We start from the raw sequence: 27,993 nt of genomic DNA on the forward strand, positions 1-27,993 counted from the left end.
ACCACCACGCCCAGTTGATTTTTCTATTTTTAGTAGAGACAGACAGCGTTTCACCATGTTGGTCAGGCTGGTCTCAAACTCCTAAACTCCTGAACTCCTGATCCACCCGCCTTGACCTCCCAAAGTGCTGGGATTACAGGCAGGAGCCAAAGCTACCAGCCTATTCCACGCAATTGTAACAGTTACTAAATACTGTCATTCATCATGTGGGGTGGGGGTGAATAAAGATACATCTTAGCAAAAACAATACAGACAATTCAGGAAAGAGTTTCCAGTTTAATTACATCAAAGCTATATCCAAAATAAAAATAACACTCAGAAACAAAGATTGCTTATAATTCCAGAACATTTTAATTCTACAGAGCTTTAATAAAAAGCCCGACAGTTTCCAAATGTTCATCAAAAACAGAATGAATATCAGTCCCATCAATAAGGGGGAAAATCAAAGAAAAAAAAAAGGAGAGGGTGAGAGATGTAAGAGATGAATGAAGGTTGACAACTATTCTCCTTTAAAAAGAGAAACACTGCTTCCTCAATGTCACTGAAGGATATGAACAGGCAAGAGGAAAGTAACTGTCCATATTTGCCTTATATACAGTATTGGGTAATTAAATGCCAGTTGGGCTGTTTAGGAATGGCTTGCTAAAACATTGAAAAAATGAAAGACTTCATCCTTGTCGTAGACTGCCACTTCAGTGGAACATTCAGTGCACATGACTGGGTGATAGATTTCTTCCACATCTGTCTCTGCCTTCTCGGCAGCATCTTCCCGGTTAGACCTCATCTTCTTATGGACCCGCCTTTTCTTCCTGTTCTCTGAGGCTTTATATCTTAGAACCTCCTCTTTGTTAATAGAACAATTCATTACAAACATTGCTCTATATTGAGTTTTGTATGATTCATGCCTAAGAGAAAAATGAAATGGAGAATTGGGGTTTATGTTCTATGTTAATAGTTTATCCATTTAGATAAAATTTGAGAATACCAAAAACTTACTGAAATACCAACCAAAGACAAGACACAGGAACAAAACAGCAAGTTTAAAGAAATTTTAAACAGTTGTTTTAAGAATAATTAAAACTTGTGAACACAGCTCACTGCAGCCTTGAACTCTTAGCCTCAAGTGATCCTCCTGCCTCAGCCTCCCTGGTAGCTGGGATTACAGGCACAAGCCACTGCACCAGGCAGAAGAAACATTTTAGTATGTAACAGTGTAAGGAAGAAATGTATCCTCTTTCCTTCTGCTTTTTGAAAGTAACTTTTTTTTTTTTTTTGAGATGGAGTCTCGCTCTGTCGCCCAGGCTGGAGTGCAGTGGCGCGATCTCGGCTCACTGCAAGCTCCGTCTCCTGGGTTCACGCCATTCTCCTGCCTCAGCCTCCCGAGTAGCTGGGACTACAGGCGCCCGCCACCATGCCTGGCTAATTTTTTTGTATTTTTAGTAGAGATGGGGTTTCATTGTGTTAGCCAGGATGGTCTCGATCTTCTGACCTTGTGATCTGCCCGCCTCGGCCTCCCAAAGTGCTGGGATTTCAGGCGTGAGCCACCGCACCCAGACGATTCTATTTCTTTTTTTTTTTTTTTTTGAGATGGGGTTTCACTCTTGTTGTCCAGGCTGGAGTGCAATGGCGTGATCTCAGCTCACCACAACCTCTGCCCCCCGGGTTCAAGTGATTCTCCTGCCTCAGCCTCCCAAGTAGCTGGGATTACAGGAATGCACCACCACACCTGGCTAATTTTGTATTTTTTAGTAGAGACAGGGTTTCACTATGTTGGTCAGTTTCATCTTGAACTCCTGACCTCAGGTAATCTGTCCACCTCGGCCTCCTAAAGTGCTGGGATTACAGGCATGAGCCACCGTGCCTAGCCTGATTCCTTGTATTTCTGTGGTCTCAGTTGTTATGCCTTCTTTTCTATTTCTAATTTATTTGGGCCTTCTCTCTTTTTTTCTAAGAGGTTTGTCAATTGTATCTTTTAAAATTATCAACTTTTAATTTCATTAATCTTCTGGCTTGTTTGTTTGGGTTTTTTGGGGTCTCAATTTCATTCATTCCTGCCTTGATCTTTATTATTTCTTTCCTTTTATTTTATTTAATAAATTAATTTTTTTTTTGAGATGGAGTCTCGCTCTGTCACCCAGGCTGGAGTGCAATGGTGTGATCTCGGCTCACTGCAACCTCTGCCTCCCGGGTTCAAGCGATTCTCCTGCCTCAGCCTCCTGAGTAGCTGGGATTAAAGGTGTACGCCACCACACTTGGCTCATTTTTGTATTTTTAGTAGAGACAGGGTTTCACCAGGTTGGTCAGGCTGGTCTCAAACTCCTGACCTCGTGATCTGCCTGCTTTAGCCTCCCAAAGTGCTGGGATTACAGGTGTGAGCCACCATGCCCAGCCTCTTTCCTTCTATTAATGTTGGATTTGGTCTGTCCTTGCTTTTCTAGTTCCTTGAGGTGTATCATTAGATTATTTGGGTGAAATGTTCTGTAAATGTCAGTTAGGCTTCTTTGGTCTACTGTGTAGTTTAACTCTGATGTTTCTTTATGGTTTTCTATCTGGATGATCTGTCCATTACTGAGAGTGGAGTGTTGAAGTCCCCTACTATTATTGTATTGCAATACTAATACTGTATTGTATCTCTCCCTTTAGATTTTTTTTTTTTTTTTTTTTTTTTTTTGAGATGGAGTCTCACTCTGTCACCCAGGCTGCAGTGCAATAGCACGATCTTGGCTCACTGCAACCTTCACCTCCCAGCTTCAAGTGATTCTCCCACCTCAGCCTCCTGAGTAGCTAGATTACAGGCACCCGCCATCATGCCCAGCTAATTTTGGTATTTTTGTGGAGATGGGGTTTCACCATGTTGGCCAGGCTGGTCTCAATCTCCTGACGTTGTGATCCACCAACCTCGGCCTCCTGAAGTGTTGGGATTACAGGCGTGAGCCACTGCGCCCAGCCCCTTTGGATCTATTAATGTTTATATACCTGGGAGTTCCAATGTTGGCTGCATAGATATTTATACTGTTATATAAATTCCTCTTGCTGAATTGACCCCTTTATATAGTAAACTTCTTTGTTTCCTTTTTACAGTCCTTGATTGTAGTCTGTTTTAAGGACAGCTATTCCTATACTGGTTTCCAGCTGCATGAAATATCTTTTCCCATTCATGTTCAGTCCATGTGTCCTTACAAGTGAAGCAAGTTTCTTCTAGGCAGCATATAGTTGAGTCTTGTTTGTTGATCCATTCAGCCACTGTCTGCCTTTAAATTGGAGAAGTGAGTCCATTTACATTGTGTTAGTACTGATAAGTAAGGATTTGCTACTGATGTGGCTTGGGTCTGTGTCCCTGCCCCAATCTCATGTCAAATTGTAATCTCCAATGTTGGAGGTGGGACCTGGTGGGAGGTGACTAGATCTTGGGGGCAGACTTCCCCCTCGTGCTGCTCTTGTGATAGTGAGTACTCACAAGATTTGATTGTTTAAAAGTATGTGGCACCTCCCCTCTCTCTCTTCCTCTTGCTCTGGCCATGTAAGATGTGCCTGCTTCCCCTTTGCCTTCTGCCATCATTAAAAGTTTCCTGGCCAGGTGCACTGGCTCAAGCCTGTAATCCCAGCACTTTGGGAGGTCAAGGCGGGTGGATCACCTGAGGTCAGGAGTTCAAGACCAGCCTGACCGATATGGTGAAACCCCACCTCTACTAAAAATACAAAAATTAGCCAGGAGTGGTGGTGTGTGCCTGTAGTCCCAGCTACTTGGGAGACTGAGACAGGAGAATTGCGTGAACCTGGGTGGTGGAGGTTGCAGTGAGCCAAGATCGTGCCACTGCACTCCAGCCTGGGTGACAAGCAAGACTCCCTCTCAAAAAAAAAAAAAAAGTTTCCTGAGACCTCCCCAGCCATGCTTCCTATACAGCCTGTGGAATTATGAGCCAATTAAACTTCTTTCTTTATAAATTATCCAGTCTCGGGTATTTCCTTATAGCAGTGCAAGAGCAGACTAATACAACTACTGGCATTTTGCTGCTTTTTTTCTGGTTGTTTTGTAACTCTTCCCTTCCTTACTGTCTTCCTTCGTGATTAAGTGATTTTCTCTGGTAGTATGTTTTAATCCATTGCTTTTTGATTTTGGTGAATCTATTATAGGTTTTTGCATTATGGTTATCATGAAATCACAAAAAAAAAACTTACAGTTATAACAAGGTTCTTTCTTTTCTTTTTTTTTTTTTTTTGAAACAGAGTTTCGCCCTTGTTGCCCAGGCTGAAGTGCAGTGGCGCAATCTTGGCTCACTGCAACCTCCACCTCCCTGGTTCAAGTGATTCTCCTGCCTCAGGCTGCTGAGTAAGCTTGGATTACAGGTGTCCGCCACGACTTCCGGCTAATTTTTTATATTTTTAGTAGAGATGGGGTTTCACCATGTTGGCCAGGCTGGTCTCGAACTCCTGACCACAGGTGATCCACCTGCCTCAGCCTCCCAAAGTGCTAGGATTACAGGCATGAGCCACCATGCCTGGCCCAGTTCTTTCTTTTCTCTCTTTATTTTTTTCTTCTTTTTTTGAGACAGAGTCTCACTCTGTCACTCAGGCTGGAGTGAAGTGGTGTGATCTTGGCTCACTGCAACCTCCACCTCCTTGGTTCAAGCAATTCTCCTGCCTCAGCCTCCCCAGTAGCTGGGATTACAGGCACGCGCCAACACGCCCAGCTAATTTTTGTATTTTTAATAGAGACAGAGTTTCACCATGTTGGCCAGGCTGGCCTTGAACTCCTGACCTCAGGTGATCCACCCTCCCCTGCCTCCCAAAGTGCTAGGATTACAGGCATGAGCCACCACACCTAGCCCTTTATTTCTGAGACAGAGTCTCACTCTGTCCCCCAGGCTGGAATGCAGTGGTGCAATCTCAGCTCACTGCAACCTGTGCCTCCCAGGTCCAAACAATTCTCGTGCCTCAGCCTCCCAAAAAACTGGGATTATAGGCAAATGCCACCATGCTCAGCTAATTTTTTAATATTTTTAGTACAGAGGGGTTTCACCGTGTTGGCCAGGCTTGTCTCAAACTCCCTGCCTCAAGTGATCCACCCGCTTCCGCCTCCCAAAGTGCTGGGATTACAGGATAAACCACCACACCCAGCCTGGCATTTTTTTTTTTCATTCCACTCCCTCCTGATCTGTATGCTTTCCACTGAGAAATCTGTTGCCAGATGAACTGTAGCTACTTTATATGCTATTTGCTTCATTTATCTTGCTCCTTTCAAGATCCTCTCTTTGTCCATAACCTTTGGACAGTTTTACTGTTTTATTGTTATATGCCTGGGGGTGGTTTTATTTGAGTCAAATGTGTTTGGTGTTCTCTGGCCATAAATATCTCCTTCTCAAGTTTTGGAACATTTTCTGCTATTATTATAATTATTATTTTTGAGACCAAGTTTTGCTCTTGTTGCCCAGGCTGTAGTGCAATGGTGTGATCTCAGCTCACTGCAACCTCCGCCTCCTGGGTACAAGCGATTCTCCTGCCTCAGCCTCCCGAGTAGCTTGGATTACAGGCATGCACCACCACGCCCAGCTAATTTGATTACATTTTTAGTAGAGACAGGGTTTCACCATGTTGGCCAGGCTGGTCTCGAACTGCTGACCTCAGGTGATCCACCCACCTCCGCCTCCCAGAGTGCTGGGATTACAAGTGTCAGCCACCATCCCCAGCTACTGCTATTAATTTTTTGAATAAGCTTTCTACTCCTTGCTTTTGCTCTACTCCCTCCTGAGTACCAATTCTTAGATTTAATCTTTTGAGATAATATTTTATATCTTGTAGACCTTCATACCTTTTCTTTCTCCTCTGATTGTGCATTTTCAAACAGTCTATCTTTAAGCTCACTGATTCTTTCTTTTGCTGATCCCTTCTGCTGTTGAGAGCCTCTAATGAATTTTTTAGTTCAGCAAATATATTTCTCAGAGTTCCCAGATTTCTTTTTTTTTTTTTTTTTTAGATGGAGTCTCGCTCCATTGCGCAGGCTGGAATGCAGTGGCATGATCTCGGCTCACTGCAACCTCTGCCTCCTGGGTTCAAGCGATTCTCCTGCCTCAGCCTCCCGAGTAGCTGGGACTATAGGCACATGCCACCACGCCCAGCTAATTTTTTGTATTTTTAGTAGAGACGGGGTTTCACCATGTTAGCCAGGATGGTCTCGATCTCCTGACCTCGTGATCAGCCCTCCTCAGTCTCCCAAAGTGCTGGGATTACAGGCGTGAGCCACTGTGCCCGGCTGAGTTCCCAGATTTCTGTTTTATTTTATTTTGTTCTTCTTTTAGAGACAGAGTCTGACTCTGCCACCCATTCTGGAGTACAGTGGCACAATCATGGCTCACTGCAGCCTCGACTTCCAGGGCTCAAGTGATCTTCCCACCTCAGCCTCCAAAGTAGCTGGGTCTATAAGCGTATGCCAAGACACCAACTAAGTTTTTTTCGTTTTCTGTAGAGACAGAGTCTTACTATGTTGCCCAGACTGGTCTCAAACTCCTGGCCTCAAGCCATCCTCCCAGCTTGGCCTCCCAAAGTAGTGGGATTACAGGTATGAGCCACTGTGCCCATAATTTTTTTAATTATTTCGATCTCTGTTAAATTTATCTGATAAATTTCTGAATTGCCTGGGCTGTCTTGGAGATCACTCAGTTTTCTTAAAACTGCTATTTTGAATTCTTGGTCAGAGAGTTCACATATCACAGTATTGTGATATGTGATATGTGATAAGGGTTCACTTGATTCCTTGTTTTGTCCATTTGAAGAGGTCATGGTTCCATTTGCTACTGTGTCTTGTGGATGTAAATGTACATCTTTGTATTGAAGGATTAGTTATTTGTTCCAGTCTTCTCTGCTTTGCTTTTTTTTGGTTATTAGATATGTTTGCCTAGAGATTCTTTGTAATTTGCAATTTGCATGTTGATATTCTTTCTTTTTCCTTTCTTCCCACTACGTCATTGCTTCCTTTTTGGCACCAGATGGCACTTTAAGCCTCAGTTCTAGTAAACACTGAGCGTGCTGCCTGTTCCAAATGAAGTGGGGGGTGGGTCCCAAAGAGGATAGGGATATCCCAGTAGGATGGGAATGCTGGCTAGGGGTTCACACTTGGGACCTGGCTTTGTCTCTGGCTATCCTTCTTTGTCTCTGGCTATCCTCAGGGATATTTTTTCCTTCAGGCACTCTCAGTGCTTCCTATGAGTTGAGGCAGGGACAGATCTCTTACCAGAGAACTCAAAAAGGTAAAGAAGCTGGTTGTACACTTCCATCTTACTTTTTCTAATGTAAAAATCATGAGCTCAGGGGAATTTTTCTGCTCACTTGGTGCCAGGCAGATTGTGGAGAAGGATAAGCAGATATGGAAGAACAATTCTCTTACTGTCTGCTTTAAGTTTTTTTTACTTCTCTGTGGCCCTAGAAACTGTCTCCTCCTTATATTGAGATCTGGGATACTGGTGGTGATAGCTTCAGTGCTGTATATTTGGTTTTGGTATTCTGCAGGGGGAAGGAGAGCCAGTTTGCTTCTATGCTGCTATTTTGCACTAGAAAAGATACCTTTTTTTTTTTTTTTTGAGACGGAGTCTCGCTCTGTTGCCCAGGCTGGAGTGCAGCGGCGTGACCTCGGCTCACTGTAAGCTCCGCCTCCTGGGTTCACGCCATTCTCCTGCCTCAGCCTCCGGAGTAGCTGGGACTACAGGCGCCCGCCACCATGCCCGGCTAATTTTTTGTATTTTTAATAGAGACAGGGTTTCACCGTGGTCTCGATCTCCTGACCTCGTGATCCGCCCACCTCGGTCTCCCAAAGTGCTGGGATTACAGGCGTGAGCCACCACGCCCAGCCCGTTTTTTTTTTTTTTTTGGAGAGAGAGATGGGGATCTCACCTTTGTTTTGTTGCCCAGGCTGGAGTGCAGTGGTGGTCACAGCCCACTGCAGTCTTGAATTCTTGAGCTCAAGCCATCCTCTCACCTCAGCCTATCGAGTAGCTGGGTCTACACGCATACATCACTATACTCAGCTAATTTTTTATTTTTTTATTTTTTGTAGAGATGAGGTATCACTATGTTGCCTAGGCTGGTCTCAAACTCCTAGGCTCAAGTGATCGCCTTAGCCTCCCATAGCACTGGGATTACAGGCATGAGTCACTGTGCCCAACTTTAAAAGTATAAAAGCTACATTTAATATAACTATATATAATCAAAATTAATTGTATAAAGATTAGTCACACAGCACCAAGAATCTAAGTACAGAACTTTATCAGAATTCCTGAGTACCTCAAAAGTCTGTTTCTGGGCTGGGCACAGTGGCTCACGCATGTAATCCCAGCACTTTGGGAGGCCGAGGTGGGCAGATCACTTGAGGTCAGGAGTTCAAGACCAACCTGGCCAACATGGTGTGACCCTGTCTCTACTAAAAATATAAAAATAAGGCCGGGCGTGGTAGCTCACAGCTGTAATCCCAGCACTTTGGGAGGCCAACGCAAGTGGATCACAAGGTCAGGAGTTCAAGATCAGCCTGGCCAAGATGGTGAAACCCTGTCTGTACTAAAACTACAAAAATTAGCCGGGTGTGGTGGCAGGCACCTGTAATCCCAGCCACTTGGAGGCTGAGGCAGAAGAATCACTTGAACCTGGGCAGCAGAGGTTGCAGCGAGCCAAGATTGCACCACTATACTCCAGCTTGTACGACAGAGTGAGACTTCATCTCAACAAAACAAAACAAAACTATATCTATCTATCTATCTATCTATCTAGATCTAGATCTAGATCTAGATACACACAAAAACTAGCCAGGCATGGTGGTGGCCGCTTGTAATCCCAGCTACCTGGGAGGCTGAGGCAGGAGACTCGCTTGAACCCACGGGGCGGAGGTTGCAGTGAGGCGAGATTGTGCCACTGCACTCCAGCCTGGGCAACAGAGTAAGACTCTGACTTCAAAAAAAAAAAAGTCTGTTTCTAATTTAAACAAAATATGTATGTGTGTGTGTGTGTGTGTGTGTGTCCTTCATCCATTACCTTTGGCAATCAAGGCAAAGTGTGGTCATGCAGGCAGGACAATTCAAGACAGCATCACTATTTGGAACAGGCTGTTGTTGACGTGATCTCTGTGGTCCCAAACCATGGTAACTAGAACAGAAGAAGAAAGTGGGGAGAAAAACATATTAAAACCAGATCTTGGTTTCTAGTGTCATTTTCCAATAAAAAGAACCAGTACTATTCAGAGAAATGGCTAATTCTAGGAATAAGGAACACAAGATGAACCTGGAGCATCTTTTAGTGCCAGAAAAGAAGGAAGTAATCAAGAAAACAAAAACAAAACAGTGAGGTGGTTATGACAAAGGGAAACAGGAGCCAACTGAACAAGTCACCAACTGCCAAAGCTGAAACTGAGCAACAAAATAAAGTAGGACTGGATTACAACCCAAAGTATAAATACCCACGAATCCACGCTAATATAAATGTACTGAATAAATAAATAAATGGAGGAGAACAGACAAATCCCCACACAGAATTCTAAATAATCTATAAAGATGCTCTTCCCTCACAGTGGTGGAGTATAACTCCCTAGTCCTTAAGTCTGGGTTGGACACAGTGACTTCCTTCCAAAGAGTACGGTATGGTAAGGCGGGGTAAAAGACTAACTTTACAGTAGAGAAAGTTAACACTGGTCAGCAAGGTGATCGAGGTCAATACCAACACACAAAACTCAGGTTGGTAGTATGTACTCTTGATATAATGTGAGGAAAATGGCTCTCTACTTCTATGTTCTTACTTATAAAAATCCATAATCCCATCCTAATTATGAGAAAAAACAACAGACAAATTCCAACAGAGGGGCCTCCTACATAGACCTGATTAGTGCTCCTCAAAGTAATTAAGGGCACTGAAAACAAGGAAAGTCTAAGAAACTGACAGAGTCAAGAAGAGCCCAGGGAGACATGACAACTAAAAGTGATGTACTATCCTACACGGGGTCCTCAAACAGAAAAAGAACAGTACATAAAAACTAAGGAAATGTTTTAAAATTATGGACTTTGATTAATAATAATGTATCAAGGCCGGGCTCGGTGGCTCACGCCTGTAATCCCAGCACTTTGGGAGGCCGAGGCGGGCGGATCACGAAGTCAAGAGATCAAGACCATCCTGGCCAACATGGTGAAACCCCATCTCTACTAAAAAAATACAAAAATTAGCTGGGCGTGGTGGCACATGCCTGTAGTCCCAGCTACTCAGGAGGTTGAGGCAGGAGAATCGGTTGAACCCAGGAGACGGAGCTTGCAGTGAGCCGAGATCACGCCACTGCACTCCAGCCTGGGCGACAGAGCGAGACTCTGTCTCCAAAAAAATAAAAAATAAAAAAAATAATAATGTATCAATATTAGTCCATTAATTGTGACAAGTGTACCAAAAATAAAAGTCCATGAATTTTTTAAAAACAGTAAAGCTACATTAAAAAACAAGCACACAGGCTGGGCATGGTGGCTCACGCCTGTAATCCCAGCACTTTGGGAGGCTGAGGTGGGTGGATCACAAGGTCAGGAGTTCAAGACCAGCCTGGCTAACATGGTGAAACCCCGTCTCTACTAAAAATACAAAAATTAGCTAGGCATGGTGGCGGGTACCTATAATCTCAGCTACTTGGGAGGCTGAGGCAGAGAACTGCTTGAACCCAGGAGGTGGAGGTCACAGTGAGCCGAAATTGCGATACTGCACTCCAGCCTGGGCAACAGAGCGAGACTCTGTCCCAAAAAAACAAAAACAAAAACAAGCATAGAGCCAGGCTGGAATTACACCTGTAATCCCAGGCCAAGGTGGGCAGATCACTTGAGCCTAGGAGTTTGAGACCAGCCTGGGCAACATGGTGAAACCCTGTCTCTATAAGAAAATAAAAAAAAAAATGAAAATAAAAATAAACAAGCATAAACCGGGCATGGTGGCTCACACCTTTAATCCCAGCACTTAAGGAGGCCAAGGTAGGAGGGGATTGCTTGAGCCCAGGAGTTTAAGATCAGCCTGGGCAACATAGCAAGACCTTGTGTCTATTAAAAATTAAATTAGAAACAAAAAAAACAAGCATGGACTCAGGAGGCTGAGGCAGGGGGATCATTTGAGCCCAGGAGTTCAGGGCTACATTGAGGTATGATAGCATCAGTGCACTACAGTCTGGGCAACACAGCAAGACCCTGTCTTTAAATTAAAAAAAAAATGACCGGGTGCGGTGGCTCATGCCTGTAACCCCAACACTTTGGGAGGCCGAGGCAGGTGGATCATCTGAGGTCAGGAGTTCGAGACCAGCCTGACCAACATGGAGAAACCCCATCTCTACTAAAAATACAAAATTAGCCAGGTGCAGTGGCACATGCCTGTAATCCCAGCTACTCAGGAGGCTGAGACAGAAGAATCGCTTGAACCTGGGAGGAGGAGGTTGCGGTGAGCCAAGATCACATTTGCACTCCAGCCTGGGCAACAAGAGCAAAACTCCGTCTCAAAAAAAAAAAAAAAAAAATGGCCTGGCACAATGGCTCACACCTGTAATGCCAGCACAGGAGGTGAAGACAGGAGGATCACCTGGGGCCAGGAGTTCAAGATCACCTTGGGCAACACAGCTAGACCTCTCTATTAAAAAAATTTTTTTAATTAGCCAGGTGGTGTGTGCCTATAGTCCCAGCTACTCAGAAGGCTGAGGTGGGAGGAGTGCTTGAACCCGGGAGGCGGTGTGTGCCTACAGTCACAGCTACTCAGGAAGCTGAACCAGGAGGAGTGCTTGAGCCCAGAAGTTTGAGGATACTGTGAGCTATAACTGCACCACTGCACTCCAGCCCAGGCATCTCTTAAAAAAAGGTGGGGGCAGAGGGTGTGGAAACAACACAAACATCCATCCCTCAGTGGATGAAAGGATAAACAAATTGTGGTATACACATACAATGGGATACTATTCAGTCATAAAAAGTAGAGAAGTACTGACATGTGCTAAAATGTAGATGAACTTCAAAAGCACTATGCCCAGTGAAAGAAGCCAGATATAAAAGGTCACATACTGTATAATATCCCATTCATAAGAAATATCTAAAATAAGCAAATCCACAGAGACAGTGCACAGATCAGTGGCTGCCAAGGGGCTGAGGGGAAGGGTAGGGAAACTACCTAACAGTACAGCGTTTCCTTTTGGGATGATGAAAATGGTTGAAACTACATAAAAGTGGTGGCTGTGCAACATTGTGAATGGTATTAAATGCCACTAAATTGTTCACTTTTAAAGTGGGTACTTTTGTTATGTGAATTTTATCTCAAAAAAAATTTTTAACTGCTCCTTGCAGAGCAGGGCTACTCCATAAGCAGTGTACCTAGAGTAGCCTCATCTCAATTTTTTTTTTTTTTTTGAGACAGTCTCATTCAGTCGACCAGGCTGGAGTACAGTGGTACAATATCAGCTCACTGCAACCTCCACCTCCTGGGATCAAGCGATTCTTGTGCCTCCAGAGTAGCTGTGATTACAGGCACACACCACCATGCCAAGGTAATTTTTGTATTTTTAGTAGAGATGGGGTTTCGCCATGTTGGCCAGGCTGGTCTTGAACTCCTGACTTCAAGTGATCCGCCCGCCTTGGCCTCCCAAAGTGCTGGGATTACAGGTGTGAGCCATCATGCCCAGCCTCATCTCAATTTTTAAAAATCAAATTTGTAAGTAGTTAAAAAGAACAATTTGCTAAATCCACTCTTCATCCACAAAACCCTTTTTTTTTTTTTTTTTTTTTTTTGAGATAGGGTCTCATTCTGTCGTCCAGGCTGGAGTGGAGTGGCGTGATCTCAGCTCACTGCAACCTCCACCTCCCAGGTTTGGGCAATTCTCCCGCCTCAGCCTCCTGAGTAGCTGGAATTACAGGTGTGCGCCACTATGGCCCCACTAATTTTTGTATTAGTAGAGACAGAGTTTCACTATGTTCGCCAGGCTGGTCTCAAACTCCCGACCTCAGGTGATCCACCTGCCTCGGCCTCCCAAAGTTGCTGGGATTACAGGTATAAGCCACCACCCTGGCCCATCCACATAAACTCTTAATCTCAAAGTAATTTAAAACAGCATCTGAAAAAAAAAGTCAGTTTTTCTTGAGGGAGAGATTGACTAACGCAGCCTAAATTCAACAAGTTTAAAAAAAAACAAAAAAACAATTGTCGGGCTGGATGCAGTGGCTCAAGCCTGTAATCCCAGCACTTTGGGAGGCCGAGACAGGTGAATCACGAGGTCAGGGGTTCGAGACCAGCCTGGCCAACATGGTGAAACCCGGTCTCTACTAAAAATACAAAAAATTAGCTGTGTGTGGTGGCAGGCGCCTGTAATCCCAACTACTCGGGAAGCTGAGGCAGGAGAATCTCTTGAACGCAGGAGGCGGAGGTTGCAGTGAGCCAAGATCGCGCCACTGCACTCCAGCCCAGGCGACAGTGCAAGACTCTGTCTCAAAAATAATAATAAAAATTTAAAAAATTTTAAAAAAAAGTCTCACTAAAATTTGCTGGTTATTTTCAAAATAAACTACTGAGCAGTTTTTTCCTCTAACTTTTTTGTTTGTGTGTGTGTGTTTGTGTAAACATATACACATATATTCAAAATGTGAATGTAGTAAAAATCATCTTTCAATCTTTTTTTCTAAAGATTCTAAATATTAACTTTAAGTTCTTACCCCCTTCTCTGTGCATCAACCCAGGCCTGATCTCTGTTATCTTTTTCAGGATCATACAGTAATTCGTCATTTGTTGGAATCTTGTGTTGTTTCTTCTTTTTTTTCTTGGTCACCTGTACTAATTTTGAAAATATTAGGATATGGCTAAGAATCATGTGTCAAGTTCACACTTCTTTAAATGAAGAGTCTCATTTCCCAAGCTACACATTTATTTATATTTTCCCTAAAAAGTTAAAAAAGGGACGGGCGCAGTGGCTCACACCTGTAATCCTAGCACTTTGGGAGGCCAAGGTGGGTGGATCACCTGACGTCAGGAGATCGAGACCAGCCTGGACAACATGGCGAAACCCCGTCTCTACTAAAAATACAAAATTAGGGCCAGGTGCGGTGGCTCACGCCTGTAATCCCAGCACTTTGGGAGACCAAGGTGGGCAGATCACCTGAGGTCAGGAGTTCGAGACCAGCCTGGCCAACATGGTGAAACCGCCTCTCTACTAAAAATATAAAAATTAGCTGGGCATGGTAGTAGGCACCTGTAATCCCAGCTACTTGGGGGCCTGAGGCAGAAAAACTGCTTGAACCCAGGAGGCAGAGGTTGCAGTGAGCCGAAATCGTGCCACTGCACTCCAGCCTGGGTGATGAGAGCGAGACTCCGTTTCAAAGAAAAAGAAAATAATAAAATAAAATACAAAATTAGCCAGGCGTGGTGGCAGGCACCTACAATCCCAGCTACCTGGGAGGCTGAGGCAGGAGAATCACTTGAACCCAGGCGGTGGAGGGTGTGGTGAGCCGAGATCACGCCATTGCACTCCAGCCTGGGCAACAAGAGCAAAACTCCGTCTCAAAAAAAAAAAGTTAAAAAAAACCCTTCATCTAAACAAGTGCTTGTCCAGGTAGGGTGCGGTAGCTCACAACCTATAATCCTAGAGCTTTGAGGGGCTGAGACAAGAGGATCGCTTGAGGCCAGGAGTTCAAGACCAGCCTGGCCAGCATAATGAGACCCCATCTCTACAAAAATAAAAATTAAAAATTAGCCAGGCACACCTGTAGTCCTAGCTACTAGGGAAGCTGAGCTGGGAGGATGGCTTGAGCCTAGGAGTCTGAGGATGTAGTGAGCTATAATTGCACCACTGCACTGCTGGAGACTGGGTAAGAGTGAGACCTATCTCTAAAAAAGTAAAAAATTTAACAAAAATTTAAAAAATAAAGTTCTTCTCCAACTAATAAGGCATTAAAATGACAGAGGAGGCAAAAATTGTTTATTTACCCAAAACTGGTATCTCAAGGACTAAGTTCAAACAATGAGAATTCAGAGACTCAAAAGAGCCACTCAAAACAAGCCAAGAATAGAAATTATTTATGATGTATGAATATATATATAAAATGCTACTAAAATTAGAACAAAAATATTTCAAAAGTGAATTAAAAAAAACAGTATGAGGTCAGATACAGTGGCTCACATCTGTAATACCAGCACTTTGGGAGGATTGCTTGAAGCCAGGAATTTGACACCAGCCTAAGCAACAAAGCAAGACCCAATCTTTACCAAAAAAAAAAAAAAAAAAAAAAGAAAGAAAGAAAGGAAGAGGAAAAAAACAAAAAAAAAGAGAAAAAAAAAAACTATGGCCATCTACATACACTAGACTTTTTGAATGTATTCTAGCAGGCAGGGAGTGGTGGCTCATGCCTGTAATCCCAGAACTTTGGGAGGCCAAAGTGGGCAGACAACCTGAGATCAGGAGTTTCAAACCAGCATGACCAACATGGCGAAATCCTGTCTCTTCTAAAAATACAAAAAGTAACCGGGTATGGTAGCTTGTGCCTGTAGTCCCAACTACCAGGAAGGCTGAGGCACCAGAATCGCTTGAACCCAGGAGGCAGAGGCTACAGTGAGCCAAGACTGTGTCACCGCACTCCAGCCTGGGTGACAGAGTGGGACTCTGCCTAAAAAATAAATAAACAAGGCTGGGCGCGGTGGCTCATGCCTGTAATCCCAGCATTTTGGAAGCCTGAGGCGGGCGGATCACGAGGTCAGGAGATCGAGACCATCCTGGCTAACACAGTGAAACCCCATCTCTACTAAGAATGCAAAAATTTAGCCGGGCGTGGTGACGGGCACCTGTAGTCCCAGCTACTCAGCAGGCTGAGGCAGGAGAATGGTGTGAACCCAGGAGGCAGAGCTTGCAGTGAGCTGAGATGACGCCACTGCACTCCAGCCTGGGCGATAGAGCGAGACTTTGTCTCAAAATAAATAAATAAATAAACAAACACATACATTCTAACAGGTCAATATTTAAGTAACAATGCATAAAAGTATAATATTGTTCTTTACCACAGAAATTTGCTATTTGAATATTTCATTGTAATTACTGAAATAATTAGTTTTAGCTCTTGTTATGTTCAACTTTGCTCAAATTTTATAAAAATTCAATTTTCAGGCCGGGCACAGTAGCTCACGCCTGTAATCCCAACACTTTGGGAGGCCGAGGTGGGTGGATCACAAGGTCAGGAGATCAAGACCATCCTGGCTAACACAGTGAAACCCCTTCTCTACTAAAAATACAAAAAATTAGCCGGGTGTGGTGGCGGGCGCCTGTAGTCCCAGCTACTCGGGAGGCTGAGGCAGGAGGATGGCGTGAACCCAGGAGGCAGAGCTTGCAGTGAGCTGAGATTGCGCCACTGCACTCCAGCCTGGGTGACAGAGCGAGACTCCGTCTCAAAAAAAAAAAAAAAGAAAGAAAGAAAGAAAGAAAAATTCAATTTTGAACATAGAGGCTGATTAAAAATCAACGCATTAAGAAAAATTCTGCAGGAGGAGGCCAGGCCGCGGTGGCTCACACCAGTAATCCCGGCACTTTGGGAGGCTGAGGCGGGTGGATCACCTGAGGTCAGGAGTTCAAGACCAGCCTGGCTAACATGGTGAAACCCCGTTTCTCCTAAAAAAACAAAAAATTAGCCAGGCATGGCGACAGGCGTCTGTAAACCCAGCTACTCAAGAGGCTGAGGCAGGAAAATTGCTTGAACCCGGGAGGCACAGGTTGCAGTGAACCAAGATGGTGGTGCCATCGCACTCCAGCTTGGGCAACAAGAGCGAAACTCCATCTCAAAAAAAAAAAAATTCTGCAGGAGGATTAAAACATAGAAACTATTTTCAGGCATGAAAACAAATATTGCTACTATAGGAAACCTAAAGGAAGAGGGGGGAAAAGCCCTGAGGAGGGGAGGTATTGAGTTGGGACACACTCTCTCTCACTCCCTAGGTACATCCAAGCAGCACCACTGTTGGTGCCATGTCCTCACATGCCTGTGTCCCCAGCTTTTTTTTTTTTTTTTTTGAGACGGAGTCTCACTCTGTTGCCCAGGCTGGAGTGCAATGATGCGATCTCAGCTCACTGCAACCTCTACCTCCCTGGTTCAAGCAACTTCCCTGTCTCATCCTCCTGAGTAGCCGGGATTACAGGTGCATGGCACCAAGCCTGGCTAATTTTTTTGTATTTTTAATAGACATGGGGTTTCACCATGTTGGCAAGACTGGTCTAGAACTCCTGACCTCAGGCAATCTGCCCACCTCTGCCTCCCAAAGTGCTGGGATTACAAGCGTGAGCCACCATGCCCAGCCCCCAGTTTTTCTTATTAATCAATCCTGCTTTTGTTTTCACATCAATGGCATCCACTTTATTTATTTATTTATTTATTTGAGACAGTCTCACTCTGTCGCCCAGGCTGGAGTGCAATGGTGCAATCTCAGCTCACTGCAACCTCCGCCTCCTGGGTTCAACTGATTCTCTTGCCTCAGCCTCCCAAGTAGCTGGGACTACAGGCGTGCACCACCATGCCCGGCTTATTTTTGTATTTTTAGTACAGATGGGGTTTCACCAAGTTGGTCAGGCTGGTCTTAAACTCCCAACCTCAGGTGATCTGCCTGCATCAGCCTCCCAAAGTGCTGCCATTACAGGTGTGAGCCACCATGCCTAGCTGTAATTTCTTAAAAGACCAAACTCAGAGGGAAATCCTAACATCTAATAATTGTTAGGTAAACCTTTTTTATAAAATATAACTGCTAAACCTGGTAAATAGGTTACTTACCTGCTCTGTCTTCATCCTCGGAATCAGAATCAAAATATATATCATCGTAGTACCTTGTCGGAGCTGTTGCAACTTTTCCATTTCCTGAGGAAGATCCTATTCAAACCAGAAGTAAAGTTTACAGACTAAATCATACATAATTCACAAGGCAAAAAACTCCATATATTCTTCCATCACCTCAAAACAATATCAACTCATTCACAAACTCATTTGATGGTGAAATATTTTCACATCAGTGAATTACTCGATGTCTATGCCCTATACAGTTACAGAGAACTGGCCCTCCTTAAAATGTTCCAAATCTTGAGAAAATTCTTCTCTCTCCCTTCCCACAAATCTCATTAAATAAAATAGCGATATTTTCAGGTTGCCAGCACACATATCTCTACCTTTCAGTCATACAGTATACCATGCAGAACATAGAACAAACATTTTGTTCTAAGAAACATTAGGAGAAAAAGGGTAAGAACCCTATAGGAAGGCAGGAGGAATGAGTCAAGGACACATTCTTCTCCTCAGTTGTGCCCAGGACCATGACATTACCTATACTTATGTCATCATATGCCCATATCCCTAATTCCTCTTAGTTAGCATCTGCTTTAGTTTTTATTATATTTTTATATGCTTTCAGATTTTTCCAGCTAATACATAGCATATCAGGGTGGAAATCAATGCTGAAGAGTCCTACTTCCTTTTTTTTTTTTTTTGAGACTGAGTCTCACTCTGTTGCCCAGGCTGGAGTGCAATAGCACAATCTCGGCTCACTGCAACCTCTGCCACCTGGGTTCAGGTGATTCCCCTGCCTGACCTTCCCGAGTAGCTGGAATTATAGGCAACTGCCGTCACTCCCAGCTAATTTTTTGTGTTTTTAGTAGAGACAGGGTTTCACCATGTTGGCCAGGCTGGTCTTGAGCTCCTGACCTCATGATCCACCCACCTCAGCCTCCCAAAGTGCTGGGATTACAGGCGTGAGCCACTGCACCCGGCAGAAGAGTCCTACTTTCACAAACCAGTTTTCAGGTCAGGTACATTTTACATAAAGACCAAGTATCAAAATGAACTATGTTTCATTACTCACTAAAGTGAAACAGAAATTTGTGATGATACATAATTAAATCTGCCACATTTTAGTGCCATCTAACCCTAAAAATACTTTTGTAAGTTTGTGTGTCTTTTTTTTTTAACTCGAGTAAAAACTGCAAAATAAAATTATGCAAGTAAACAGTATTAACTAATCTCTTTCCAAGAACACAAGACAGTCATCAAACAAACTCCAAGCCAGGCACAATAGTTTATACCTATAATCCCAGCACTTTGGGAGGCCAATGCAGGAAGATCACTTGAGCCAGGAGTTTAAGACCAGCCTGGGCAACATAGTGAGACCCTGTCTCCACAAATTTTTTTTTTTTTTTTTGAGACGGAGTCTAGCTCTGTCACCCAGGCTGGAGTGCAATGGCACAATCTCGGCTCACTGCAACCTCTGCCTCCCGGGTTTAAGCGATTCTCCTGCCTGGCCTCCTGAGTAGCTCGGACTGCAGGCACGTGCCACCAAGCCCAGCTAATTTTTGTATTTTTAGTAGAGATGGGGTTTCACTGTATTGGCCAGGCTGGTCTCAAACTCCTGACCTCGTGATCCACTGCCTCGGCCTCCCAAAGTGCTGGGATTACAAGCATGAGCCACCACGCCTGGCCTTTTTTTTTTTTGAGACGGAGTCTCACTCTGTTGCCCTGGCTGGGGTGCAGTGCCGCGATCTCAGCTCACTGCAACCTCCGCCTTCCGGGTTCAAGCAATTCTCCTGCCTCGGCCTCCCAAGTAGCTGGGACTGCAGGCACGTGCCACCACACCCAACTAATTTTTGTATTTTTAGTAGAGACGGGGTTTCGCCATGGTGGCCAGACTGGTCTCGAACTCCTGACCTCAGGTGATCCACCCACCTCGGCCTCCCAAAGTGCTAGGATTACAGGTGTGAGCCACTGCACCCGGTCGCTACAGATTTTTTTTTTTTTTAGATGGAGTCTCGCTCTGTCGCTCAGGCTGGAGTGCAGTGGCGTGATCTCAGCTCACTGCAAGCTCCGTCTCCTGGGTTCATGCCATTCTCCTGCCTCAGCCTCCCGAGTAGCTGGGACTACAGGCGCCTGCCACCACGCCCGGCTAATTTTTTGTATTTTTAGTAGACACAGGGTTTCACCGTGTTAGCCAGGATGGTCTCAATCTCCTGACCTCGTGATCCGCCCGCCTCGGCCTCCCAAAGTGCTAGGATTACAGTCGTGAGCCACCGTGCCCGGCCCAAATTTTTTTTTTAATTATCTGGGCACAGTGGTACATGCCTGTAATCTCAGTTATTCAAGAAACGGAGGTGGGAAGATCATTTGAGCCCAGGAGTTTTAGGCTACAGTGAGCTATGATCATGCCACTGCACTCCAGCCTGGGTAACAGAATGAGACATTGAATCTAAAGTAATAAATAAATAACTTTTTTAAATGAGAAAAGGAAGACTCTAGCTCAGACTGCCAAATACATTCACTCCTTCATTCAATAAATATTTATTGAGCACCTACTGAAAGTGCTGGGAACATAGAAGAGCACAAATAAGGTTCCTGCCCTTACAGAGCTTACAAAAATATATATAAAATTGAACCAAAAGTTTACCAGTTCCCAGAGAGGATAACTTGTCCTCCATTGTTTTCATGGTAGAATTTAATTCAGCTTCCATCTCCTTTTCAAATTCATCTTCACTAGATGATTCACTTTCTCCGGTAAGACATTCTCTGATGAGTTTTCGTTTTTGGTCAGGAGTTCCATGTAAAAGCACATCCACTTCATCCTCAGAGCTAGCATACATTTAAATCAAAAAGAATATGAATATTTAAAAATTAAAATAATTTTAAACTCCCAGCATCTCACTGTCCAACAACAATTTTAAGTATTACATGGTTACATTTGATGTACTTATACATTACATATAGCTATTCTCACTTAATAAGCCAGTTCTGCATATTTCCAATCTTCTTTAATTTTTTTTTTTTTTTTTTTTTTTTGAGATGGCATCTCAGTCTGTGACCCAACCTGGAGTGCAGTGGCATGATCTCAGCTCACTGCAACCTCCACCTCCCCAGTTCAAGCAATCCTCCCACCTCGGGTTCCCCAGTAGCTGGAACTACAGGCACATACCACCATTCCCAGCTGTTTTTTTGTTTTGTTTTGTTTTGTTTAATTTTTGTCGAAATGGGGTTTCGCCATGTTGCCCAGGATGGTTTTTTTGTTTGTTTGTTTGTTTGTTTCTTTTGAAACAGAGTCTCGCTCTTGTCGCCCAGGCTGTAGTACAGTGGCATGATTTCTGCTCACCGCAACCTCCACCTCCTGGGCTCAAGCGATTCTCCTGCCTCAGTCTCCCAAGTAGCTGGGATTACAGGATTCAGAATCCGTCTCAAAAAATACATAGATAGATATATAGATAGATAGATATCCTGGTTGTGATACTGCACTATAGTTTTGTAGTATGTTAACACTGGAGGAAACTGGGGAAAGAGTACACAGGATCTCTCTGTATTATTTCTTTTTTTTTTATTATTTTTTATTTTTTGAGATGGGGGTCTCCCTGTGTTGCCCAGGCTGGAGTGCAATGGTGCCATCTTGGCTCACTGAAACTTCCGCCTCCCAGGCTCAAGCCAACCAACCGCCTCACCCTCCTGAGTAGCTGGGACCACAGATATGCACCACCATACCAGCTAATTTTTTGTATTTTCAGTAAAGACATGATTTCATCATGTTGCTCAGGCTGGTCTTGAACTCTTGAGCTCAAGTGATTCTCCTGCCTTGGCCTTCCAAAGTGCTGGGATTACAGATGTGAGCCACTGCACCAGACCTGTATTATTTCTTATAACTGAATGTGAATCTACGAAAACTTCAAAATAAAATGTTTAATTTTTAAAAACTGAATCACAAAGTGAGAGCTATTTTTTCTACAAATTTTCTTCAATCCTTGTCATTATCTCAACCAAAGTCTCAGTTTTCAGCACTGCTGAGAAAGGCAGTCATACATCATGGACCCTAGATATGCAAGTTAAGTATGCCAAGAATGCAAGGTTCTGACCACTGTTCACTCCAGCCATTTCTCAGGATTGTGTTTGCAGCGAACAACAACCTTGAGGAATGAGATAATGTCTCCTTCCAGGACAAAGAGCAGATGTATTTACTGTCTTCTATGAAAGAGGTGGATTCTCCAAGCTCAAGTAGTCTTTAGCCACGATGCCAACCCACTGAATGTGCAGCATTCTTCTAGGACCCTCAGCGTAATACCTGTAGGGTTGACAAGCAAGAGCAAGCCACACAAACATGATGCTCATGCTGCTTGCTGTGCTATGTGTAGTCTTATCTTTGACCCAGGAGTCTCATGTCTTCGGTCAGCTACCGTGAAACAGTTAACAGGCTACAATGTATTAGTTTATAAACAGTGTAAAATTAAATACTGACAGACACCTCTCTAACACTAATCTCCCTTTTTAAAATAATAACCATTTGGCTCAGAGCCTACAACAGGCAATACTGTCTGATAACATTGTTTTGTTTTTATAATATTTATCTTTACAGTTACCTTACCAGTGGCAACTGTCACAGAATTATAAAGCTTCCTTAAAAAAATGATACAACAGTCCTGGCTCCGTGGCTCAGGCCTGTAATCCTAGCACTTTGGGAGCCCGACGCAGGCAGATTGCCTAAGGTCAGGAGTTCAAGACCAGCCTGGCCAACGTGGTGAAAACCCATCTCTACGAAAAATACAAAAAATAAGCCAGGTGTGGTAGCGCATGCCTGTAATCCCAGCTACCCAGGAGGCTGAGGCAGGAGAATTGCTGGAACCCAGGAGGTGGAGGCTACAGTGAGCCAAGATTGCACCAGTGCACTCCAGCCTGGCTGACAGAGTGAGACTCTGTCTCAAAATAAATAAATAAATAAATAAATAATTGAGACATACATATATACATACCTCCTTTCACAGACAGGACCCATTAACTGAAACTCTTTTTCACAGGGAATCCTGGTATCTATCCTCACTCCCAACAAAAGAAATCTTAACAGCAGTCTGATTTCCCATGCATCCAATGTCTCCCCATGACAATATGAGGAAACATTGTTCTTTTGATTTTTTTTTTTTTTAAGAAATGAGGTCTCACTATGTTGCCCAGGCTGTTCCTTTACTACCAGGCTTAAGAGATTCTCTCGCCTCAGACTCCCAAAGTCCTGGGATTACAGGCATGGGCCACCACACCCAGCCAAAGTTGTTAATGAAAGCATGGCTTTACAGAAAGCTTCTTTAGGCAGAATGAATGTTTTAAAGTTTAAGAATAGGATCTGCTGACAGCTTAAGAAATAACTAAATTTGTGTGGAAATATCTCGGCAAAACAGCTTCAAGTTTCCCTGGTAGAATAAAGCCCACCCTTCTGGAAATCCCACGAACCTTCTTCTGTGCCTATCTCAGGTCAATATTCTCTACAATGCTCTGCCAAGAAATATATACTTTATCTTATTACCCTTATTATACTATAAGCCTCTGGAAGACAAGGACCTTATGATTTATCTCTGTAGCTCAGAGCGAGCATACAACAGTCCCTGTCAAAAAATAAAAATAAAAAAGGCTGTTCAATATTCCCTTATTTCTGTTTATGGCAGTTTAGTCTTCAAGATGGACACTTCACATTAAGTCCTGTGAGCCTCACAACAAACATAGTGTGTTATACTATGTTATATAGGTTATACAATTATGTTATTATAGTTCAATTTTACAGGTGAGTAATCGAGGATAACTGACTTGCCTTCCGTCACTCTGCTACTAAGGTGTAGAGACAGGTTTCGATCTCATTGCTTTTGAAGATTTACACGCGGTCCCCCGTGATTCCGGAATATCCCTCTTCCTACAGGCGACATCGGCACCGCCTCCCCCCGGGACTGCGCGACCCCATCAGGAAAGCCCTTTGGCTTCGCACAAGTAACAGGCACGACAGGCTCCCGAGCCGCTAGGGTCTGCGTAGGCTCGGCAGGCGCAACGAATGGAGGCGACCAAAGCCAGGCCTCGACCCAAATCCTCGGGGGCCAGGGTGGGGCGGGAGCCCACCTGCTCAAAGCCGGCTCCTCGTCGCTAGGCTCTTCAACCGCGTAGGGGTCGTAGTCATCCGGAAGCCGGTTCATGGTGGCCTGCAGCGGCCTACACCGTCCACAAGCAATTTGCAGCGTCTCTGTTTACACTGCAAGTCCAGTCCCTAAAGCGCCCCTGACGCCACTTCCGCCTGAACGTCCCAGTCCCCCTTGCGCGCCCGCGCAGACCGACAGCACCGAGGGAGGCAGGTAGAAGGCGGGGAAGGGGCGGAGCAGGAGCGAAAAGGGGCGGGGACGGGACGGGGGCGGGTCTTAATCCCACCATTTTTGTTTTGTTTTGTTTTTTGGAGACGGAGTTTCGCTCTTGTTGCCCAGGCTGGAGTGCAATGGCGCGATCTCGGCTCACCGCAACCTCCGCCTCCCAGGTTCAAGCAATTCTCCTACCGCAGCCTCCCGAGTAGCTGGGATTACAGGCATACACCACCACGCCCGGCTAATTTTGTATTTTTAGTAGAGACGGGGGTTTCTCCATGTTGAGGCTGGTCTCGAACTCCGGACCTCAGGTGATCCGCCCACCTCGACCTTCCAAAATGCTGGGATTACAGGCGTGAGCCACCGCTCCCGGCCAATCCCACCATTTTCTTCCGCAGCTTCTGCTTACAGGAAAATAGCAGCTACCTTGTCACCAAAAATAATAATGATGGGCACCCTCATAAGTGACAGTCTCTGAGGTGAACATGCTACATGCAGCGTCTCATCACCTACGAAGCAGGAATCTAGACGCTGAGGGACACACAGCCCGAAATCCAATAAGTCCTCAGACACCAGCACCCACATCCCTCCAACCTCGCCTCTAACCCTTATGCCTTCCACACCATGAGGCTCTCAACCTCTCCTTCACACTGTTCACTCCTCAGTCTGACTGCGGCCTCAACAATCTACGAAAAGTTATCTTTTCTCGTCATCTTCCCAGTCCCCACTTTTGCTCAGCCCTCAACTGATCCCACTCGATACCTGAGGAGAACAGGCAGATGACAGCCACTTGAGCTCCATCGGGAGACTGTTTCTAACCCTGTTTCTGAACCAGGAACTCGGGTTCCTGCCTCCTACCGAGACACTGTGGCACTCTCTAAAATGTGGAGTAGCTGTAATAAATCTACTCCTGTATTATGCTTTACAGTGCAGGTCTTAGTTTTTCTTTTTTCTCATTTCTTTTGAAATGGCATCTCGAACAAAGTCCACCAATCCCTTTACAAAAGAATGAACTGCTCCTCTGTGTGTACTTCATAGAAGGTGGAATCGGACAGAAGCAGGTTAGTGACAGTTATTCCTGAAATACAGGAGCAGAGTACAGTCTGTTGTGGTTTCCCGGATTCCGCGCCTAGCTCAGCCAATTAAGCATGAGACATAGGCCATTGAGCCACTTAGTAGTTATGCGAGTGGATAGATTGGTATGTAGAGGGAAAGAGGTCTGCTGTAAAGAACAACACTTGTTTGTCTGTGGGGAAAGAAAAGCAGAATACTTGAGATGAAAGTTGGCATACAAATAGGATACTATCGCCAGTAGTTATATTACAAACATTATCGGCCTTTCTAGTGTGAATGAACATTAGACACATTATTGTCATTCCTAGTTTAAAGTTAAGGTTGCGTGGTTGGATTTTTCCACTATCTTTTTCTAATTTTTCTACCATTTGGAGACCGTAGGCATTTGGGCCTGTCACCCCTTGGATGGGTTCCTAGTTTGTTTACATTTTCCTGAACCCTCCTGAGCGCCCGTTCTTGGTCTAATCCCCAGTCGTGATGATTCCACACTTCCTCAGCCGCATGTTGTCTTGCCTCATTCATGAGCTGGTCAGCGTTTCGTCTCTTTAACTGACATGTTCCCCAGTGCTGTTTGAACTGTTGAGTTTCCGTTGCTGGCTGAGTGCGTTTTGTCCTTCACGTAACCTTCGCTGGTAAAAATAAGCCCATGTGATGTCCACCAGTGGATGAATGCTGGACCGAGAGCCCTAGCTTCTGGATCCAGGTCTAGGCCCTTCATCTGCTGCTCTGTGGCCCAGGGCAGGTTTGCTTGACCTCTGCCTCAGTTCTCGACTCTAAAGGACATACTGACCTACCTCACAGGGGTGTTGTGAGGATTAATAAATGTTGGTACTCTGCTTTGGAAATGTGAAAATGCTGTGTAAATGTTAAGAAATACTAAGTATAGGGCCAGAAGCTATACAGTGTTTCACTTAACCGTTTGCCATTCTGTATTTACCAAGGTGGTCTTTTCTGGGGAAGGAAGTAGAGTGGAAGGTGCATCCCTTGGCCCCTGGTTTACATTATTAGGGTGCTTATTGTAGGAATGCACTCTAAAAAGTGGGCGTAGAATGAAAGCAGCCGTCCAGTGGTCCTCCCTTTTCTGTAGTTTCACTTTTCTTGCTTCAAGTTACAGCAGTCACCTGAAATCTGAAAATACTAAATGAAAAACTCCAGAAACAATTTATGTCTTAAATGTTGTGCTGTTCTGAGTAGCGTGATGAAATCTGTTGCCGTCCTACCTGGAACATTGAGTCATGCCTCTGTCCAGTGTGTCCATGCTGTATACACTGTCCACCCATCAACCAACCACTAAGTAGCTGTCTTGGTTGTCAACATAACAGATCACAAGAAGATTGAGGTTGGGTGTGGTGGCTTACCCCTGTAATCCCAGCACTGTGGGGGTCCAAAGTGGGAAGATTGCTTGAGCCCAGGAGTTCAAGACCAGCCTGGGCAACTAAGCGAGATCCTATCTCTCGAAAAAATTTTAAAACAACTTTTTGGCTGGGCGTGGTGGCTCACGCCTGTGATCCCAGCACCTTGGGAGGCCAAGGCGGGCGGATCACGAGGTCAGGAGATCAAGACCGTCCTGGCTAACACGGTGAAACCCCGTCTCTACTAAAAATACAAAAAATTAGCCAGGCGCAGTGGCGGGCACCTGTAGTCCCAGCTACTCGGGAGGCTGAGGCAGGAGGATGGCGTGAACCCGGGAGGTGGAGCTTGCAGTGAGCTGAGATTGCGCCACTGCACTCCAACCTGGACGACAGAGCGAGACTCCGGCTCAAAAAAAAAAAAAGAATTAGCTGGGCGTGGTGGCGGGTGCGTGTAATCCCAGCTACTCGGGAGGCTGAGGCAGGAGAATCACTTGAACCTGGGAGGCAGAGGCTGTAGTGAGCCAAGATCGCGCCATTGCATTCCAGGCTGGGCAACAAGAGCGAAACTCTGTCTCTAAATAAATAAAATAAAATAAAATAAAATAAAATAAAATAAAATAAAAAATGGCATGTAATATAAAAATGAGGGGAGAACCCTTTTAGGCAGGATTTAACTTTGGCTACAGGTAACTAAAACAATGAGCAGCTTAGACAGGACTTATTTTTCTCACCTACCCAGAATTTAAGGGGTAGCAGTTTGGGGCTGTTGGCCAGGCTATTCACCAGGCGGCCCCTCCTCCGTCTGCTCTACCATGCCAGGTGTAAGGTCTCCCGGCCATGATTGTTGCTTCCAGGTACCAAGGCGGCCGCTACACTCCAGGCCTGAGTCTGACTTCCAGGTAGAAAAAGGGGGTAGGGACAAAGACTTTCTTCAAAAAGTGGCTTGGCCTTTTTATTCTCCTGGAGATGCCCTTTCCGGGGACGTGTGTCTAACTGGCCAGAACTGTGTTGTGTGATGAGGAAGTTGAGCTGTTTTAGCTGGGTGTGTTGATCCTGTGGACAAAATCAGGGTCTGTTAGTAAGACAGGAGTGGCCACTGCAGGATACCCTGCCAACAGCACAGAACGAGTCTGGACCTGAGAAACAGTAAAACTGACCTGTGATTAGAGGTTTCGTTTGTTGTTGTTGTTGTTTGTTTTTTATGTGTTTTTTTTGGTTCTTGTTTTGTTTTTTGTTTTTTGTGACGGAGTCTCACTCTGTCGTCCAGGCTGGAGTGCAATGTCGCGATCTCGGCTCATTACAACCTCCGCCTCCTGGGTTCAAGTTTTTCTCCCGCCTCAGCCTCCGGAGTAGCTGGGATTACAGGAACCCGCCATCATGCCCAGCTAATTTTTGTATTTTTTAGTAGAGACGGGGTTTCACCATGTTGGCCAGGCTGGTCTTGAGCTCCTGACCTCAGGT

At 44.8% G+C, this 27,993-nt stretch overlaps 1 protein-coding gene and 2 long non-coding RNA genes across 5 annotated transcripts, besides 5 other annotated features; 1 reads left to right on the forward strand and 2 right to left on the reverse strand.

Moving 5' to 3' along the window:
- Window positions 1-256: 256 nt before the first annotated feature.
- On the reverse strand, window positions 257-24,020 carry EAPP (E2F associated phosphoprotein). 2 transcript variants are annotated; one of them, NM_018453.4, is made up of 6 exons: window positions 23,874-24,020; window positions 20,413-20,594; window positions 17,763-17,858; window positions 13,677-13,794; window positions 9,016-9,126; window positions 257-905 (listed from the first exon to the last, which is right to left on the reverse strand). In NM_018453.4, exons 1-6 carry the CDS (start codon window positions 23,945-23,947, stop codon window positions 629-631), a joined length of 858 nt encoding a protein of 285 aa, NP_060923.2. In that variant the 5' UTR covers window positions 23,948-24,020; the 3' UTR covers window positions 257-628. The 2 variants fall into 2 exon arrangements, with proteins under 2 accessions (NP_060923.2, NP_001305845.1); NM_001318916.2 differs by lacking the exon at window positions 13,677-13,794.
- Window positions 21,862-22,156: a silencer, noted in NCBI's record as "tiled region #9667; HepG2 Repressive non-DNase unmatched - State 25:Art". NCBI's record gives its function as "represses a minimal TATA promoter and a strong SV40 promoter by Sharpr-MPRA in HepG2 cells {active_cell/tissue: HepG2}" and the evidence as "EXISTENCE:reporter gene assay evidence [ECO:0000049][PMID:27701403]".
- Window positions 23,223-24,147: an enhancer, noted in NCBI's record as "NANOG-H3K27ac-H3K4me1 hESC enhancer chr14:35008110-35009034 (GRCh37/hg19 assembly coordinates)". NCBI's record gives its function as "activates a minimal SCP1, AML or CMV promoter by ChIP-STARR-seq in primed H9 embryonic stem cells {active_cell/tissue: H9 hESC(primed)}" and the evidence as "EXISTENCE:reporter gene assay evidence [ECO:0000049][PMID:30033119]".
- Window positions 23,223-24,197: a biological region, named in NCBI's record as "NANOG-H3K27ac-H3K4me1 hESC enhancer GRCh37_chr14:35008110-35009034".
- Window positions 23,798-23,957: an enhancer, noted in NCBI's record as "active region_8254". NCBI's record gives its function as "activates an Ori minimal core promoter by ATAC-STARR-seq in GM12878 lymphoblastoid cells {active_cell/tissue: GM12878}" and the evidence as "EXISTENCE:reporter gene assay evidence [ECO:0000049][PMID:35858748]".
- On the forward strand, window positions 24,068-26,025 carry LOC105370447 (uncharacterized). Its single transcript, XR_943739.1, has 2 exons — window positions 24,068-24,103; window positions 24,505-26,025. It is a non-coding gene; the product is annotated as an uncharacterized LOC105370447 (long non-coding RNA).
- Window positions 24,098-24,197: a silencer, noted in NCBI's record as "silent region_5665". NCBI's record gives its function as "represses an Ori minimal core promoter by ATAC-STARR-seq in GM12878 lymphoblastoid cells {active_cell/tissue: GM12878}" and the evidence as "EXISTENCE:reporter gene assay evidence [ECO:0000049][PMID:35858748]".
- On the reverse strand, window positions 25,553-27,773 carry LOC112268123 (uncharacterized). 2 transcript variants are annotated; one of them, XR_007064113.1, is made up of 3 exons: window positions 27,690-27,729; window positions 27,268-27,585; window positions 25,553-26,308 (listed from the first exon to the last, which is right to left on the reverse strand). It is a non-coding gene; the product is annotated as an uncharacterized LOC112268123 (long non-coding RNA). The 2 variants fall into 2 exon arrangements; XR_002957583.1 differs by having other exon boundaries at window positions 27,268-27,773.
- Between the last annotated feature and the right edge of the window lie 220 nt (window positions 27,774-27,993).

Source organism: Homo sapiens, chromosome 14 (genome assembly GCF_000001405.40).
Source record: "Homo sapiens chromosome 14, GRCh38.p14 Primary Assembly".
NCBI classification, from domain to species: Eukaryota; Metazoa; Chordata; class Mammalia; order Primates; family Hominidae; genus Homo; species Homo sapiens.

What these genes read in the sequence shown, in the direction of transcription:
- EAPP (NM_018453.4), bottom strand. Translation starts at nt 23,947, where the DNA reads ATGAACCGGCTTCCGGATGACTACGACCCCTACGCGGTTGAAGAGCCT. An exon ending in GAGGAGCCGGCTTTGAGCAG is followed by an intron (nt 20,595 to 23,873) that starts GTGGGCTCCCGC and finishes AATGTATGCTAG; the next exon opens with CTCTGAGGATGAAGTGGATG. An exon ending in GTTATCCTCTCTGGGAACTG is followed by an intron (nt 17,859 to 20,412) that starts GTAAACTTTTGG and finishes TGGTTTGAATAG; the next exon opens with GATCTTCCTCAGGAAATGGA.